Genomic DNA, 19,677 nt, shown 5'->3' on the forward strand with positions numbered 1-19,677 from the left:
GATAGGGCATATGAGCCAATCACATTTCTGCAGCCTTTTGTGGATACAAAAGGGGTGGGCCAAGCCTTTCCAATATCCCTTTTCCTCCTTGGTACCCAGACAGACTATATTTACCAGCCTCCTTTGCAGCCAGGTGTGGTCATGTGACTCATTCCTGGTCAATGAAAGGTAGATGGAAGCCTGGCCTAGGAAACAGGTCTACATGCAATCTTCCATTCTTCTCCCACCCACTGGCTGAAAAGAAAGGCTTCTGAGGACACAGAGTGGGGGGAAGGCTAGGTAGAGGCTGGATGGGAAGAAAGCAGGGTTCTCTTGCTCCTCTCATCAGAGAGCTACTGAGGAGACCCACCGCACCCAGACCCCCATACTGGACTGTTACAGGAGTGAGAAATAAACTTTGTTTAGACCACTGAAATTTGAGAGTTAGAGCTATTAGCCTACCCTGATTAACGCTGGGGTAGCCCCTCACATCTGCCCAGCACCCTCAGCAGAGCCTAACCCAATCATCCAAGGTTACCCAATAGAGAACTCAGGCTTCCACTAGAGTAGCCGTCACATAGAGTTACTGGGTCTTCCAGGTTCTGCCACCTCCACCGTGTTTTGTGGGACTCTCCACTGAACTCACAAAGCACATGTATTCAGCTACTCCAAAGCTATGTGTACTCAGGAAGAGAAAGTTCTAAATGTTTCTGTGACCTTGTGCCACTGATATCATGGGTTCTATCCTTCAGAGTGCTAAGAAAAGTGTTAAATCTCCAGAATAGCTTTGGAAAAGTGGAGAAATTTGAGACTTTCTCTATTTTTAGTTGCTAATATGCATTCCTGAAAAGTTTATTTAAAGCCACAAGGAAATATTTCCATATTGAATTTCAATATTGCAATATACTATTTTAGAATAAAATGGAAAGATCCAGGACATAGAGCAGCTGAGAAGCTACACAGTTGGCCCCTGGGCTTCACTCAGACAGTGCTTCTCTAGGCTGCAAGTCATAAGTCTTTGTGTCACCCACTTTTAGAAGACATCCCCCGGACTTCTGGGACCAACCTGAGGTTTGTAGGAATCTCTGAGGATCAATGATCAAACATATATTAGCTTGAAAAAAAACTAATATATGTGTATGTTTTTTTAAAAGGTTAAGTTTTTAACAATTTAGACGTCTTGGCATTATACTCTGAGAACGTTAACCAATGAGAATAAGAGTGACAATTTAGATGTAAAACCTCTTAAAGGTAAAGATAAAATCCTAACCACATGGGGAAAACCATGTGTTCTGTGGATGATTTCCCTGGATTTCTCAAAAGACTCTTAGAATGTTCTGGGTATGACTTTGGGGGCATCTGTTCTATGAAGATGGGCACCCCAGCATCACCTGCATATTAACCCTTCTTCTTGCTCCTAAAGATGCAGAATTAGCTGAGATTAGGAAGATGTACAAAGTGTTCTCCCTGCACTTCAACTAATGAACAAAACTTTTTAAAAATTACTTATGATTTGGAACTATTTTATCATTTTATATATCCTATGGCAACTGGCATTTTATATTTAATTTTATCATCTTTTGCTTTTTTTCTTTGATCTAAATCAGGATGCTAAGTTTTGGGGGGGGGTCCTACAGTTTTGGCAGAGACCTCATTCTAAAAAAGAGGTACCAGACTATTAAGGCAGAATCTGCTGAGGGTGGCCCCAAACCTGGTCTGGTGAACCTCACTCAACTCATCATTGATTTCAAGGGCACAGAAGAGGCAAGGAGATGACAGCAGGAGAAATGGACATGTACCATGGAGAAAGGGGACCAACCACACCTTCTGTCCAAACTGAGATTTCCCAGCCTGAAACAGGTCAACACTGGGGTTAGCAAGAAACTTTAAACTGAATAGGAGATTAAAGTAATAAGAAGATGAGTACTATTATTGGTACAAATTATATTGGTAATAGTTTTAAGTTTCATTCTTTAAGACAGGGTGAATCACAGTCCCTTCTCTCAAGGTCCTTGTCAGCATTCTACTTTTCCAAGGACATTCAAAAATTTCTCATCCAAAGTCAAACATTAGTGTGTGTGCCTCAAACAAGAAATAGTTTTCCATCAGTCTCCAAATCTTTGAATAGTAAATGGCAAAAGTATGGAAATGCAAGATGGAGTGGGGCTTAATGTTGCCACAACATTCCTACAATACTGGGATAGTCTTCCTTGGGAATTACTTTCTTTCCTATCACGTATCAATAAGGAAAGCCAAATGTAGAAATAAAGAAATCTCCCCGATTTACTTAACACACGGAGGTGACAGTTACAGCGCAAATTGAGGGAAGAGTAAATGATTTCCACAAATGAACCAAAAACACTTAAAAGCCACATTTAAGAGAAATGGAGTCATAAAGGCAATATTTGTGAGCAGATAAAAAATCAGCACAGAAAAAGGTGAGAAATACACAATGTCTTTCATCAAGGTGCAAGGAAATGTAAAATAACATTAAAAGTACCAACTACATAATTTGAATATAAAGAGAACAATAGCAAGAAAGGAGAGGGGAAGTGATGGCGATATGGAGACACAGTCTCTTTTGCATGCACAGGGCAGAACCGGTGCCTCAGGCTGGAGGGTGTCTGTGAGTACCCCACAATGAAAGCAAAAGAGCACCCAGCATTGAAGCCACAGACCTTGCTCCATGAATCCTAGCTGATGGGCTGGCACAGAGAGATCAGGAGCAGAACAAGGAAATCCATAGGAGGATCCTCCCAAAGTACTTTTTTTTCTGGTCCAAAAATCCTTAAATCTGTCAGAAGCAGGAGGTTGGAGTGGGAGAATTGCAGAGCCTGGAACACACCTGCCTGCTGATGACCCATTCTGAGGGGGTTCTTTCCACTTGGCAGCAATGGACTTGGTAAAAAAAATAATAGATCCTTCTCCATGGATCCCATTTCCCTTTTTTTTTTTTTTTTTTTTTTTGAGATGGAGCCCCAGGCAGAATTAAAGACCAACTCTGGGACCCAAATTTTTAGAGGACAAAGGTTGATATAATGGCCAGCACGATTTAGTCATTTAGATTTCAGGTCTAACTAACTGATGACAGACTTTAACAAAATCACTGAAAGAAATTTAACGTCAACCTTAAATAACAGTAGAGGCAGGTAATATAACAAATAGAGTCAAAATGGTTTATCTAAAGGTCTAAGCCCAAGAAACATCCAACAATAAAATTAATCTAAAACAAATTTTTTAATAATCATTTTTTTTTCTTGAGACAGAGTTTCGCTCTTGTTGCCCAGGCTGGAGTGCCATGGCACGGTCTTGGCTCACTGCACCCCCTGCCTCCCGGGTTCAAGTGATTTCCTGCCTCAGTCTCCCAAGTAGCTGGGATTACAGGCATGCGCCACCACGCCCAGCTAATTTTTTTGTATTTTTAGTAGAGATGGGGTTTCACCATGTTGGTCAGGCTGGCCTCGAACTCCTGACCTCAGGTGATCCACCCACCTTGGTCTCCCAAAGTGCTGGGATTATAGGCGTGAGACACCACACCCGGCCTCATCTTTTCTTTAACATTACAATTTCCCATCATGGTGGCACTTGACAGTAGTGGGACTGTCCAACAGCAAATGACCCCATCTAAGCACTCAGGACAGAAGCCATTTTAGGTCATGAAAATTATACAGATTTTGTGAGTGAAGGGCATTTAGTTCTGAGCAGAAAGTAGTCTTGCAAAAGGGAAATTTGCAACAACAACAAAAAAGGACAAGGAGGGTGACAATGTCAAGCAAATGATAACCCTGCTGGAGCTTCAGAAGGAACCAGCTACATCCCTTTCCTGCTTCTACAGATGCTATGGCAGCCCCAGAGGTGTCCCACTAGGATCTCCCTTCAAGAAAGAATCTAGCATGCATCTGAACAACCTCCAGCTGTTCACACCTCAGGCCCTGCCTCATCCCAGACAGCCCTGAGCCAATCACTGACACAGCAGGGTACTAGAGCCTGGTCATTTCTGCCCAACCCGGGGCCCCTCCAAAGGCAAGCTCTGCTCCAGACCTCCCCGTTGGGTTGGTCAAACTATCAAATCTGTACCTGGTCTGAGGCTCTCCCTGCCCAGTCTTGCTTCATCCTCATTTTATCCTTCACAGGCACAGCCCCCTTCCCCCTCCAATAAAACACTAACATTCCTAATTCCGTCTCAACATCTGCTTCCCAGGGAACCTAACTAACACAATACTCCTAAAACCAATACCAGCAAAAAGTGACTTTCCAAGCCCCTACATGAAGACTCATTTTCTGGAAAATAAAATTTAATATAATTCCAATTACCCATGACGCTATTTAGCCATTTCAAAGGAAATGAGAAAGCTTCCCAAATTGTGGTCCTCATGGAGTGAACTGATCATCAAATGTTGCTGTTTACATGAGGGCACACAATAATTAGGGTTGTATGTAACATGCTACTTTCAGATTTTCAGGTAAGTCTAAATGCTTTTAATTGATGCAAGAATAATAAGTCCTTCAGTTGATTTATGTCATGCATTAATATCAATCAAAAGGTTTTCTAACACATACTTTTTAATACTATAAAATGTGGGGTTTTTTTTAATGTCTTTTTTTTCTTATTCAGAGCCACATTTCTTCACATGGTATGTTTTACCTAACCTAAGGGTTATGTTGTTCGTTTGTTTTTAATTTCAGGTTTGAGGAATCAAGTAACAGGTCTTTCTAAATCCTTTTATTGGATATATGTTAGTTTTCCATTATCATAAAAGACTGAGGAACAGGAACAGCAGCATATTGTTTAAATGATTCACAGGTAAAAATATCTTCTCCCTCTTGGTCTGTTTTCTTTCCTGATGTCTTTGCTCATTGCCAACATTGTCTATTTTATATATAATTCTTGCAGGACATTGTGCCCTGAAGGTGAAATTGGACAGGTAAGGAGATGACCCAACACCCCTTGTCACACCTGCAGGCTCTAGGTCACTTTTGTAACACACAATGAAATGGGTAAATTCTACACAATCCTTTTTTTTTTTTTTTCAAACAATAACAGAAAGTAAATATTTGAACTGGGGGCTTTTTCAAACAACACAAGTCAGAAAAAATTGACTTGTTTTTGACTGTTACTTTAGGCATATATTTTTGATTAATGACAATTAAATGTAAATATAAAGATATTTTAAACTTGAGGTTTTAAAACAAAGAATGCAAGAATCACCTGGTTAAAGTTAGATATTTTGTCAGTCTCAAAGTCAGTTGGCTGGATAATACCATATCATAAAATTTTATAAGACTAATTTGAAGGTCCATATGAATTGGTATTATTGTTCGTTTTTCAATATTGATCTTAGCAGTGTATTTACAGCATACAGCAGAGTTAATGTTTAATACAAACAAACAAGACTTTCCAGAAAATCTACAAAGAATCACTAACTAATAGCCATGCTTCAGTTAAATTTGTTTACTTTTTAAAGTACATTCTCAGAAGTAACATGTACTCTCAATTAAGTAAAACACAACCAGAATTTTGGAATTTGATCTTTAAAATAATAAAAAAACTTTCTCTGCTATTTACAGCCTTGGTTAAAATCCCAACATCTGGATACCAGAATCTGAGCAGCAAAATCCACGGAGACACATGTGCAATTTTATGCCTGCAAGCTCACTATTATTTAGAACGAAACCAACGTAGTGCATCTACCCTTGTTTCTTGCTACACAGAATGTATCCAGAGTACAAACTAATGTAGATTATTATAAAACTCAGTGTGTAGATATTATATATATATACACATGCATACATACACGCACATATATAACTAAAACAAAATCTTCAAAAATAATACTTTTTCTTTCTGTATGTGATGTGCCCTGATAGTTTCCACTTTACTCCATCCCATTTCCTTTTGTTAATACTGGCCTTGACTCACTTAGACAAATGGGTCATGACCTGTAGTTTGGAAAACAGGGCTTTCCAGCCTGGCTTTAAAGAGGCTGGTCCTCAGGCCAGCAGAACCAGCAGCACCTGGGGGTAGTTTGTGGCGCACAATCTCAAGGCCTGCCCTAGACCTACTGAACTAGGATCTGCTCTTAGCAAGGTCCCCAGGTGACTTATGGATGTATTAAAGTTTGAGAAGCCGTCCTCCTGCATGCAAAAGTACAGAATGAGTATCTGTGATCTGAACTACATTTAAATCGATAATGCACCTCTTAAACTGTCTTTGTTCAAAGAACTTCTATCCTACTGAGCTCAAGGAGCAACACAGTTTCTAGCAAGATAGGTGCAAAGAAAAATTCACTTTCAATTTCATCAACTGCTTCAAGAGGTTGCAGGGACTGGCTGACCTGGTATCCCAGCTCCTGCAGGACCGAGAGTGTGGGAGGTGGGTTGAGGGGAGGTACTGAATTGACTGCAATAGATCCATGAGCATATAAAAGTGTGCGTGTTTGTTCTTATTCCTGGGAGAAAATATATAGTATTCACCTAATTTTAAAAGAGTTTTATGGTTTAAAAAGTTAAGAAGAGCTACTAAGCCATGAAAAGACGAGGAGGAAGCTTAAATGCACATTACTATACCAGATAAGAAAATCTGAAAAGGCTACATAGTGTATGATTCCAACCATATGACAGTCTGGAAATGGCAAAACTATGGAGATGTAAAAAGATCAGTGGTTGTCAGGGCCTAGGAGGTCGGGAGGGATGAACAGACACAGCTCAGTGAATTTGAGGGGCAGTGAAACTAATCTGTATGATATTATAATGGTGGATCCGTGTCATCACCTGTTTGTCCAAACCCACAGAACATATAACACCAAGGGTATACGGTGTTTATATTAAAGTATAACCCTAATGAGAACTCTGGACTTTGGGTGATAATGATGTGTTGATGTAGGTTCAGCCCTTGTTACACGTCAGCCACCCATGTGGGAAAATGTTGATAGTGGTGGAAGCTATGTATGTATAGGGGCAGGAATTATATGAGAACACTTGTGGTATATGCTCAAGTCTGTTGTGAACCTAAAACTGCTCTAAAAAATAAAGTCTGTAGGTATCTATGAAAGCGCAGACACATGGTCCGTGAGAGCACGTCCTCTCTGCTATAAATTGGTTGTATGGTTACAATCATACCTAGAAAGGAGAGAAAATAAAGAGTAAGTGAATACCGACATGTTCAATTCTGCCCCAGAATACAACAAAGTCCCTGAATCACTCTTGTTTCATTGTTGCCATTGCTTATTCAATTCAGTCAACTCGTATATGTGAAGCATGTGCTACATACATAACGTATAATGCAGGATGCAAAAATGATTATGTGATCACTTCAAGTAATTTATAATCTAGCAAACATATAAAACAGGCACACAGATAATCCTTACATAGTAAATGCCTCCTTTTTCCCCAAAATGGCAAGGAGACAAATAGCAAGGATCCGAGGACAGAGAGGCAAAATTCAGAAGGCCAGAAAGGCATGGAGCCAGAAATCCAATTCACTCGCGAGTAAGGTATCGGGAGAGAGTGGTGTACAACGTGACAGGGACACCTGTTGCTCCCAATTGTAATCTTTTCTGATTGGTTTATGCCCCTTTCCAATTACTGTGTCCATGCTAATTATCAACTATTTTTATTATCAACCCTGCAGAGGGGACTAAGAGAAAAAAAAAAACTGCTGCAAAGTGATGCTGTGTTCATTTTGCACAGAACCCAGAAATCCTGATGAAGGAAACTGAATTGGATGCCACAAGCCTTATCTCCTGTGAATGCTGAATGACTTTGTCGGTGGGTTTTACGATAAGATGTACTTTCTTTTATATCTATTAAACAAGCTATACAGAATACTGGTAAATACACAGAAGTAAAAAGAAGAATAAAATAGATAAAATTTTCTAAGTTAAAAGCTAAGGGAAAAATAAAAAGAATTATCAATTGATGTGATCAAAGAAAAATGTTTATCTCATGGGGTGTTGGAAAAGGAACATCATAAAAATTAATAGGTAGAATAATCATCAAAAACAATCTGCACAACAAATATTACATAGCTGAGGGGAACTATCATTAAAATATAATGTATACAAATTGCTGAGAAACTCACTACACCTTCTAAATCATGTCAAAAGAGTTGTTTGCATATAAGCTGTCTGCACTTCTTCTCTCTCTCTCTTTTTTTTTGTTCATATTCACTGCAAGGTGGCTTTTGTCCACCCATGCAAATCACTCATATGAAGGTCACAATGATGTCCAGGTGGCCAAAGCCTGTGGCTAATCCTCAGTCCTCATCTCACCGAGACAGCAGTTTCTTAGCCCTTCTCCTACCTCCACTGGCTTCTCTTCTCAGCTCCTCTGTAGTTCCCCCTCCTCTTTCCAACCTGTATGCATTGGAGGGGCCCAAAGCTCAACCCTAATGCTCTTCTGCATCTTGGTCCCTAGGTGATCTCACCTAGTCACCCAGCCTCAGATAGCCTTAGGCTTAGGAATCACAAATATATCTCTCACATGACCTCTAGACTCATATCAACCTCTCAACATCACAATTTGGATATCCAACAGGCATCTCCAACTCAACACAGCCAAACCCCACTTTTGACTTCCTGCTCATTGCAACTGTCCCCTCTTGCAGATGTCCCTTTTAGAGTAGGTGGCACCATCATATACCCAGTTACAAACAAAATCTTTAAAGTCATCCTTGACTCTCCTACACTGCATATCTAATCCATCAGCAAATGCTGTCTTTTCCACCTTCAAAGTAGATCCCCAGTCTGATCATTTCTCACTACCTCCCCTTTCGCTGCCTGGTGCCTGGCAATGGCCTCCTAATTGGTCTTCCCTGTTTCAACTCTTGGTCCCCCTCTAGACTGTTCCCCACACAACAGCCAACATGGTTCTTTTAGAACTTCAACCAATGTAAATTATACTTCAAGAAAGCTTTAAAAAATTCAATCAGATCACATCTGCTATGAACCTTCCAATGGTTCTCCTCCCGCAGTGTGCCAAATAAAATGGAAATGCCCTTATCCTTGCTTAACAGAAGTCTACAACACAGCCTCACCAGCATGCCTCCAACTCACATCCTGCAGCTTTAACCTCACTCCACGCCAGCCCCCAGTCTCCTTGCCGTTACTTGAAAGTGCCAGGAGAGCTCCTGCCAAAGGGCCTTTGCACATGCTGTTCCCTCTCTCTGCAATACTCTTCCCCGTGTGATCATACGGCTCATGCTCCCACTCCCTTCGGGTCTCAGCTTGAATGTCACCTCCTCCCTATGACCTTCCCTAACCTTTCGTGTAAAATTCTACCTCTCCCTTCCTCAGTCTCTTGCTTCTCCTGCTTTGTTCTGGAGAATACCAACCAGCACCACCTGATTTGTAACTATTCCCTTGAGCACATTCTATCTCAGCCACGGGAATGGAAGCTTCATGCAGGCGGGGACATCATCTGTTCAGTTCATGCTGTAGCCCAGCAATTCTGAATGATTAGATTGAAATTGGATCCAAAAATATCACAAATGAGATAACGTAACTTGTTGATAAGTGTGTGAAGAGTATGAAGAGATGATCAAGCTCACAAGTTTCCAAGTGCTAACATCTATAAAACTCCATTGTCACCCATCAAATCAGCAAAGATTAAAAACCACAATAGAATGTGATAAAATAGTGCTCTCAGATACTTCCTGGAGAAGTATAGATGGGCAGAATTGGGTGATCTGGTATCAATGATCATTCTTTCATACCAATACACCATGGGATTTTGCGATCAGAAGGTAAAGAAGACACAGAAGGAAAAGAAGGTGAAGATTAAACCAGCAAAAACCCATAATAAGTAGGACTTCTTCCTATTCATTAGTAAGAAAGAGTTGGGTGTCCCCATGGGAAAATGCTAATTTAGTGTCCTGAACCACTGTACCCTCCAATTCCTGCTTCCCCCACAACAGTGGCCCCACACTGAGTCCTACAACGAGGATAATGATCCTCAACCCCCAATTGCACAGACAGGGCTAAGTCAGAGACAGTGATGCCAACCTTGCTGATGTCTCTAAAACACTCAACTACTGGGGGCTAACCCTAAGCAAAATTATTGACTCCGATTCCTAAGTTAATTTCCTATAAGGTGGAAGAAGCAACAAGTGTCACTTCTCTTCTGGGCTCTATGACACCAAATAGTGGAGCCGAAGAGACTTGCTGATGTTTTGAAACCCAAGGCCAAATAATGCTCTCTAAACCCTTAGAGGTGTGACTAGGATATTCACAGAAGCCACGCAAAAGACAGCAGCCTTCAATGAAGAAACAAAGAAACAAAAAACATGGTTCCTTTTATAAATATTTATCGATTATCTAAGGCTAGGTTAATTGTTGATAACTATCAATTATCTGAGCAAGATACGCAGAAACACTTCAGGTGCTTGAACTGCAGCATCCTGGGCTCCAACCCAAACTTACTGGAGAAGAAGCTTTAGATACCAGGAATCTGCATTTTAACCAACTCCTCAGGGAAACTGCCCCAGAGGGGGTCTAGGCTAACCATGCGCAACTTCCACCCATTCTCCTGGGAAGTGATTGTGAATCTCCTCCAAACCCCTCTTACACTTCCTGATTAAGTTGGTGCCCCCTACTGAATGTCAGCCTCACTGAATCTTAACGAGGAATCGCCAGACTGGGGGGGGGATTGTGCAGCATGTCTGGGGAACACTTCACTACTTCACTAAACCCTGCTGCACACATGCTGAACACCGTTCCAAAGGCTACAGGAACTGAGCACCGCATTGGAATCTGGCCCTGGAGGGTGCCCAGCATGGCGACCCTGAGGGGTGCAGGAACCCAGTGAGAAGGAGAAACAGAAGGTACAGTCCAGCTCGAGACCACGCACATAAAGAAATCTGTAGGCAGGGTCTCTATTATTGTGCCATATTAAATATCTTGATATTTTAAAGCAATATTATTTTTCTGATTATAAAAGTACTCATTGTAGAAATTTTAATTGTGCCATCATCCTGCAGAAAAATGAAAGTACAAAAAACGAAAAAGCAGCTATACACGGCCACAAAGTCACAGGGCTCATCGGGATGTGCTAACCAGGCTGGAAACTGATCAAAGCTGATTTATTGAGAAAAAATAGGCAGCATATCAAAGACTTACATCAGCTTCATAGTAGACAGACTTTGGGGGCGGGGGAACTCTGTCTCTTTTGAGTATATTCTCAAAAGGATAAACTTTCACCTTCCTGTGAAGCACAGTTACTATAAATCAGATTTGCAAACTGTGAGAAATGCTTACAACTCAATGAGTCTTTTGTCAGCCAGTGGGGGCTCCATCGTGAAATCCACCCTTCGCCATAGCGATGGGATAAATCATCACCAGCCCCGAGACATCGCCTAATCCCTTCCTCGCAAGGCAGATTCGGGCGCTTTCTGCATCTGCTTCGTGTTATTGAAAAGAGCTCGGCTCATCTGCTGGGCTCTCAGGCTTCACAGTGACCTCGCACAGAACGCTGCTACTTCTGAAACTGTTTTAGACTCTTCCGTCTATGAAACAGACACAGAGTTTAAGTTTAGCGTCTTTTATGGTCAGAAATATTTAGCGTTACTTCCAGAGCGGCAGCCGTGGAACAATGTGGGAAAGAAGTGCTTCAGTTCACTTCTTGGGAAGTACTGACCCTGGGTCAATTTAATTTTTTCCGTAAGATTTCCCCTTCTTACTTTTCTCCTTCCACTGCTATATGTAACAGTATCTCCCCTTCCACTGCTATATGTAACAGTATCTCCCCTTCCACTGCTATATGCACCAGTATGCTAGTATACAACATTATAGATTAATAATATGCTATATTGTTTAAAAATATTAATGTTATATAATTAACATGGTGTGCATATTATTATATTGACAATACGTAATGTGATGTGATAATAAGTCTCACTGAGTGCCAGGCACCGCTTTGAATGCTCTAAACTCATTAGCTAATTTATTCCTCGTGATTCTATGGGGTAGATGCACTATTTCATTCCCATTTTACAGCTGAGGAAACTGAGGCAGCTAGTAACAGGTGGAGCCAAGCTTCACACTGAGATCATCTGGCCCCAGCACACTCATAAAAATGAGCAAAAGTATAAAAGCCAAAGGGAAAAGGAAGCCAAGGGGTGAAAATCCTAATTACAAACAAATCCTGGGTAAGCTGGGTTTTTAGTCCTTCCCCACATGTGAACAGCAACTAGAAACCTGAACAGTGACTTTGTTTCCCCTGTCATCCATTGTTGGTGCCTGATCCTCACACAAAATCTTACGGAGCAGTATCTAGTGATTAGCTTAGCTGAATTGAGCCTGGACACCCTTCATGAGCTGGAGGACAGAGGACGTGTCGATGGAGGGTCCAACTTCAGGCATCTGTACTCGCCTGCTACAGGTGAGTGGACCTATGAACCCCCAGCCTCATCAAGCACCCGAGGGTCACCTGCCTGCTTCACCTGGAAGAGACAGCAAGGTGTGATCCCAGGAAGATCCTCTGCCAGGAGGCTTACAGGCAGAAGCAGCGGCTGCTGAACATAGATGCTGTCGGCAGGACACAGGGGTGATAGGGGGTGAGCCAGTGGAGCAGGTGAAGGTGCAGACTACAGGCAGCCCCCCTGAGATCCTGCCCAGACCCCAGCAGCAGCTCCCCTGTCCCTCTCTAGCAGCTTCGCTGTGCCCGAAGTGTTTGAGAACAGGTGACCCATGCCCTGAGTGGCAGATGCTGTGTCTTTTTGATCCCTTCTCTCCCTCCCCCCCCACCCCCAGTGGGGTACATGGAAGGTTTGCTAAATGTTTGTTGAATGAATAAACGAGCCCAAGTCAGAAGCAGTCTCCAAATCATTCCTCATCGCAAAAGGGTGCGGTGGAAAAACTCACAAAGCCAAGGCAGGAGGACACACTCAACTTGGAAACGGCCCGTGCCCAGCTTTGGAACAGGCACAGCCTGAGCTTCAAGGAAGTCACTTGACCAGCAGTAGCTCCCACCTTTCCTTGCAGCTAGAACAGCATCAGACCAAGTGATCTCTAATGTGATGATTTGCTAAAGTACAATGAGTTTTACAACTAGAAAGTACCTTCCTCTCAAGACTGACTTCACTATGAGCCACCTAATTTTTCCTCTCTCTTCTTTTGGTATTTTTGTTGCAAATAGTACACACAAAACAGGATATATAATCTATTTGTGCAATTTAAAGAATAAGAAGCAAACACCTTTGCAGGTACTCCCTAGTCCACAACAGTCAGCCCCAGGACCTCAGAAGCCCCTTATGCCTTTCCCCTAAAACTCTCCCCTCCCTGACAAGGTAATTCCAATGCTGAGTTATGTGGTTTTTTTTCCTTATTTTTCTTTTCAACACATATTACGTTTCTCTGAATAATATGCTTTTTAATGTTGCCTCTTTTTAATCTTTATTTGTGGAATCATATTGTATGTAATCTGTGACTTTTTTCTACTCACATATGAGAACCATCCACACTGATACATGGCTACAGATAGACACTTGGAGTTTATTTTTCACTGCTGTATAGTACTCCATTGGTGGAGTACAATAGGTTTATGTATCCACTTTTCTGTAGATGGACACTTGGGTTGTTCTGTTTTTGCTCATACATACCTCCTGGTGCTCAGGTACAAGGGAATACAGACCCAGGGTGAGACTGCTGGATCACAGGCTAGGCACATCTTCAGCTTTACTAGGTAACACCAAGCCAATACAAAAGTGCTTGTACAAACTCATGCTCCTGCCAGCATGGAGGACCCACTGTGCCACATAAAAACATCACTGTTATTAACTTGTTTTATTTGCATATGATTATTTTTTCCCTTATCCCCAACCACTTCTCAAAGCAACTAGCCAGCATGTGCCACACAGGCAAGCACCCACTCCAATGTGATCTATATGGTTAGGTATGTATGTACCCTGGAAAACCCTGTGATGTTGCTTGAGGAGTATATAACTTTTTTATGTATGTAAGTAGCATGTGCTACAAAGCGCGTTCTGTTTTCTGTATTTTTCACTCCACTCAGTGTTTTGTAAAACATGCTCATGTTGCTCCATAGGTATCAGAGACAGGATGATGTTTTATCTTTAAGATGGGTACGCCACCCTCATTTTATAGATCACAGTGATAGCTCACAATTGTTTAGTACTCAGTGGGGTCTAAATGTACTAACTCGTTTAATCTCCCACGAACCCTGCAAAACAGATGCTTCCGTTTCATATAAAATGAGACCAAGGCACAAAGAAACTAAGGAACTTGTACAAAATCACCAAGTTAGTAAACATCAGAGCAGGATTTGAATTGAGCCAGAATGTGTTCTTATCCACGACATGAAACTGGATAAGAATGCAAAGCTCAGAGAATTTTCATGACTAGCATCTCTGGGATTCACAGCTGGCGACCACGGAGCAGAACTAATATACAGATGGTTCCCCTCTCAGTCCAGTCCTCATTCCATCGGCTCCAAAATGTGTATTATTCTATATGATTAGCTGGTGAACAACAAAGGCAATTAGTTAGTCCTCTTCAGCAAATGTTAGTAAATGAAAATATTATAGAGACAGAACTCTTTTTAGGAAATGCAATCATGTGAATTTAAAAATGCTTTATCAGAAATAGAATTAATGACAAAAATATTTATAGGATCCTAAGAAAATGGATTTGCTATTTTTTTTGTCGGCTGATGATAATCATCTGGGTGCATCTTTGGTTGTGACAGCTCCACCCCTTCAGAGAGTTGTATCTTCATACACACCTAACATGCTAAGAGTAGATGTGCATGATATGGTAGTTAGTATAATTTCTGTAATAAAAAAAGTACTTGGTCATGCCTGTAATCCCAGCATTTTGGGAGGCTGAGGTGGGAGGATTGCTTGAGCCCAGAGTTTGAGACCAGCCTGGGCAAGATAGTGAGACCTTGTCTCTACAAAAAAAATAAAAATTAGCTGGGTGTAGCGGTGCACACCTGTAGTCCCAGCTACTCAGGAGGTTGAGGCAGGAAGATCGCTTGAGCCTGGGAGGCAGAGGCTGCAGTGAGCCATAATCATACCACTGCACTCCAGCCTGGGCAACAGAGCAAGACTATGTCTTAAAAAAAATAAATAAAAATAAATAATAAATAAAAAATTTTTAAAAAAGGTACCTGGAACGGCCTGCAAAGAAAGGGAAATCAAATTATGCTTCAAGACAGTCACTATTATCACTGACAGAGAAGCAGCTAAAATAAACAGCCTGCTCATTTTGTTTGTAAATGAATTGCCACAATTCTTGCACTATTTAAATCAAGAATATTTTATATTCCATAGTTTTCAACCACCCCTCCTTTTTTTATTGTTTCCAGCTCCTTAAACATATAAAAGGATAAAAGCCATTTGTTCTGGCAGAAAAGAGTCATCATAAATTTTGCAGAGTGAATTTCTCTAAGATGAAAGGAATGTTCCTCTCCTCCAGGACAGCCTACGGACAGGACTGTGATGACACAGAGTCTTCACGGGAATCACACCTGCAGTGTTAAGCCACTTCTGTGGAAAACTCAAGTCCTTCTCAGATAACAAAAACATTTTAGTAGCAATGAACCAAAAACAAAATCTTCCACTATATATGTTAATACATCAAAAGGAACCATTCATGTGCCATTTATAAGAACTTCCTTCCGGCCAGGTGCGGTGGCTCACGCCTGTAATCCCAGCACTTTGGGAGGCCAAGGCAGGTGGATCACGAGGTCAGGAGATTGAGACCATCCTGGCTAACACGGTGAAACCCCGTCTCTACTAAAAAAAAAAAAAAAAATGCAAAAAATTAGCCAGGCGTGGTGGCAGGTGCCTGTAGTCCCAGCTACTCAGGAGGCTGAGGCAGGAGAATGGCGGGAACCCAGGAGGCAGAGGTTGCAGCAAGCCAAGATCGCGCCACTGCACTCCAGCCTGGGCAACAAAGCGAGACTCCATCAAAAAAAAAAAAAAAAAAAAAGAACTTCCTTCCCAGAAATCATAGCAGCGTTCCTCAGCCCAAAGCCAGAAGAAACTTCTCGCACATGAAATTTTACTTCAAAAACTCCCATATCAGGCATTTTAATGAATCAGTGGAAGAAAATTATCCTCCCAACTTTGTTGTCAAGAACCCCAATTTCATATGCAGAAAAAAGAATTACAAAAATAATTATTCGAATTCTAATTGGTGGGATTTTGATAGGTTTATAAAGGAAATAAATATCTTTAACACAATTCTACCTCGCAGCCAACATCAGCTATTAGCAACCACACTTCTTATTGCCAGTTCATCTCTCCAAACACACAGAAGCCATGTGAGTTGAAATTTATTTTTTAAAAACTCTCAGTTATGATTTCTCAAAATTATATTTCATATATTGACATCAACCAATATGATGATGATATTATATATTGACATTAACCAATACGATCAACCAATATGATGATAATTGTAGGGAAAAGAAAGAGAGATCTGACTGTTACTGTGTCTATGTAGAAAGGAAAGACATAAGAGACTCCATTTTGAAAAAGACCTGTACTTTAAACAATTGCTTTGCTGAGATGTTGTTAATTTGTAGCTTTGCCCCAACCACTTTGCCCTAGCCACTTTGACCCAACCTGGAGCTCACAAAAACATGTGTTGTATAAAATCAATGTGTAAGGGATCTAGGGCTGTGCAGGACGTGCCTTGTTAACATGTTTACAAGCAGTATACTTGGTAAAAGTCATCGCCATTCTCTAGCCTCAATAAACCAGGGGCACAATGCACTGCGGAAAGCCGCAGGGACCTCTGCCCTTGAAAGCGGGGTATTGTCCAAGGTTTCTCCCATGTGATAGTCTGAAATATGGCCTCGTGGGATGAGAAAGACCTGACTGTCCCCCAGCCCGACACCCGTAAAGGGTCTGTGCTGAGGTGGATTAGTAAAAGAGGAAAGCCTCTTGCAGTTGAGATAGAGGAAGGCCACTGTCTCCTGTCTGCCCCTGGGAACTGAATGTCTCAGTATAAAACCCAATTGTACATTTGTTCAATTCTGAGATGAGAGAAAAACCGCCCTATGGTGGAAGGTGAGACATGTTTACAGCAATGCTGCTTTGTTATTCTTTACTCCGCTGAGATGTTTGGGTGGAGAGAAACATACATCTGGCCTATGTGCACATCCAGGCATAGTACCTTCCCTTGAACTTAATTATGACATAGATTCTTTTGCTCACATGTTTTTTGCTGACCTTCTCCTTATTATCACCCTGCTCTCCTACTACATTCCTTTTTGCTAAAATAATGAAAATAATAATCAATTAAAACTGAGGGAACTCAGAGGCCGGTGCCGGTGCAGGTCCTTGGTATGCTGAGCGCCGGTCCCCTGAGCCCACTGTTGTTTCTCTATACTTTGTCTCTGTGTCTTATTTCTTTTCTCAGTCTCTCGTCCCACCTGACTAGAAATACCCACAGTTGTGGAGGGGAAGGTCACCCCTTCAGATAATAAGATAAATCAGAGCCGAAAACATAGTTCATTCCTGAAATCAAATATAGAACGTTTCTACCAACACACATTTTCAAAGATGGTGTTTTCAGGTTTGTATGGGATTGTTTCACCTTTATGAATTAGCTTTTTAAAACCTGTAATACTTTCTTGCTGACTTCATCATTTCCTTCTGGTTGCCTGGAGGGGTGGTGTGGAATGCTAATAAAATGAATTTCAGTTGCCGTCCCTCACAATCTGAACTATAGAAGATATTTATTGTCTCAACTTCCCTATGAGCTTTTCTTTGCATCATGCAGCTTCATGGTCAGCAGACACTAAAAATTAAAGAAAGTCTTTCTCCCACTTTACTTGTGTAGCACAGACACACTGATCAAATATGTTCCCAGCACTTCCGAAGAAACCTTATCACATCCACAAGAGATTTCCTACTTGCACTTTTTTTGATAAACACAACCATCATAGCCCAACAAAACATCACACAGAAATCAAATTATAGTGTCCCCATAAGCATCTGCTCCTCTATGGCCTTGGGCAAAATTTAGAATCCTCGACATCCCTAGAGTTACCACAATCTCTGAAAGTGAAGGAGCACCCACAAAGCTCAAGGAATGCATTGAAACTCTTATTACTTCCAATTCCATTTTCAAAAAAAGTAAATGTGTGTGTATGTGAGCTGCACATGGTCCAGAATGCCTCACCAAATGTATTGTTTTAAAATGTGTGTACGTCCATGTGTAATTGTATGTGTGGGATTTTGAAAGGCTTTTTATATTTTATTCAAAAAGGTACACTTTTCAATATCACAAACTTTGCTTTCAATTATAAGCCCTTCCCATTTTCAATTAATGTTTTAGGCAAGGAATATACATTAGTAAAACCAACCACACCACTTAGGGAAAATGAATTAGTATGGGGAAAGTGAAGAACTGGCCATGCAGTCAATTACTTTGGCCAGCATAGATATAGTTGAACTAACCAGCACAGGTGTAGACAGCCTGTTTGGATAAGGTAGCTTAAGCCCCAATTTTTTCTGCAGTCTTTATTTTTGTCAAATATATGAAAACTACCATCTCATTTCCTCCCTGTAGCTATTACCCACATGTATGTGTAGTGTCAAAATAAATGGCCAGAGTCCTCTCAGGGACCTCCCTTGGCACAAGTCGCACTTCCTCACCCTCTCACCTCCAGAGCCTCAGGAAGTGCAGGTCAGAAAGCAGCCAGGGCAGGTGTGAGGTGATGGAGCGCTGAGTGTCGGCGAGCCCAGATAAAACAACGTTCCAACATCGGAAATCCAATCATTCACCTACTTGTCTCCTGCTCGCTAACCCCAGGCAAGTATAAAGGAGATGGAATTATAACAGGAGTTAGAAGAATTTGGATGTGATTTCATATATTAACTCAGCAAAATTTTTTCTGAAAAGGTCCAGACAGTAAATATTTTCAGCTGGCAGGCCATATGGTCTTTGTCGAACCTACTCAACTGTGCCATTATGGAGTGAAGGCAGCCACAGATGATATAGAAATGAATGCATGGGGCTGTGTTCCAATAAAGCTTTCTTTATGGACACTGAAATGTAAATTTCATGCAATTTACATGTGTTACGAAATATGCTTCTTTTGATTTTTCAACCATTTAAAAAAGTAAAAACCATTTTCTTAGCTCCTGGGCTGTGTTGACTGACCCCTAATTAACTGATATGTGGGCTGCTATCCATGAAAACCTAGGCACAGAGGAAGGCAGAGCTGGCTTCCCAGCCAAGACGGGACTTACCTTGATATGAGCTGCTGGGTCCGGGACAGTCTGAATCATGTCCTTCAGTAAGCCAGCCCATCTACCAGCTGTTCAGAACCTGACGGCTAGAAGACAAAAGGAACAACATACATAATAATAAACAACTGCATTTCTGTGTTTTATGTTCTAGCAGGACAGGACACAATTCACCAATGGCAAAAGAATCATAGCTTTACATTAAACATGTTTGCCTAAAGGCATCCTCTAGGTACGTGTGGTCCATGAGGTGACTAGATAACTCACTTCCCTTCCATTGGGAAAATCACTTACAATGAGCCCAAGAGAACCCTAGTCCGACAGGACAGAAGAATCTAGCTCAAGCTAACCCACATCACATGCAGCATCCACACATCCTTCCACGTGGGCAGCATCTAATGAGGGATCCATTAAAGGAAGACGTGGGACTAAAACAGGGCATACTTCTCTATCATACTGAGAAAACAGGACTTTGAAAT

General features: G+C 41.4%; 1 protein-coding gene across 7 annotated transcripts in view; it reads right to left on the reverse strand.

The window, feature by feature from the left end:
* Positions 1 to 19,677, reverse strand: part of ERG (ETS transcription factor ERG) — a 294,523-nt gene that overhangs the window by 189,200 nt on the left and 85,646 nt on the right. For all 7 annotated transcript variants that reach the window (NR_111949.2, NM_001243432.2, NM_004449.4 and 4 more), the window contains one exon: positions 19,202 to 19,287. Coding sequence is in view for 5 of the 7 variants with exons in the window: in NM_001243432.2 (NP_001230361.1) it covers positions 19,202 to 19,240 (39 nt within the window). In the remaining 2 variants the exon portion in view is untranslated. The remainder of the gene's footprint in view (positions 1 to 19,201; positions 19,288 to 19,677) is intronic.

This window comes from Homo sapiens, chromosome 21 (assembly GCF_000001405.40).
Source record: "Homo sapiens chromosome 21, GRCh38.p14 Primary Assembly".
NCBI classification, from domain to species: domain Eukaryota; kingdom Metazoa; phylum Chordata; class Mammalia; order Primates; family Hominidae; genus Homo; species Homo sapiens.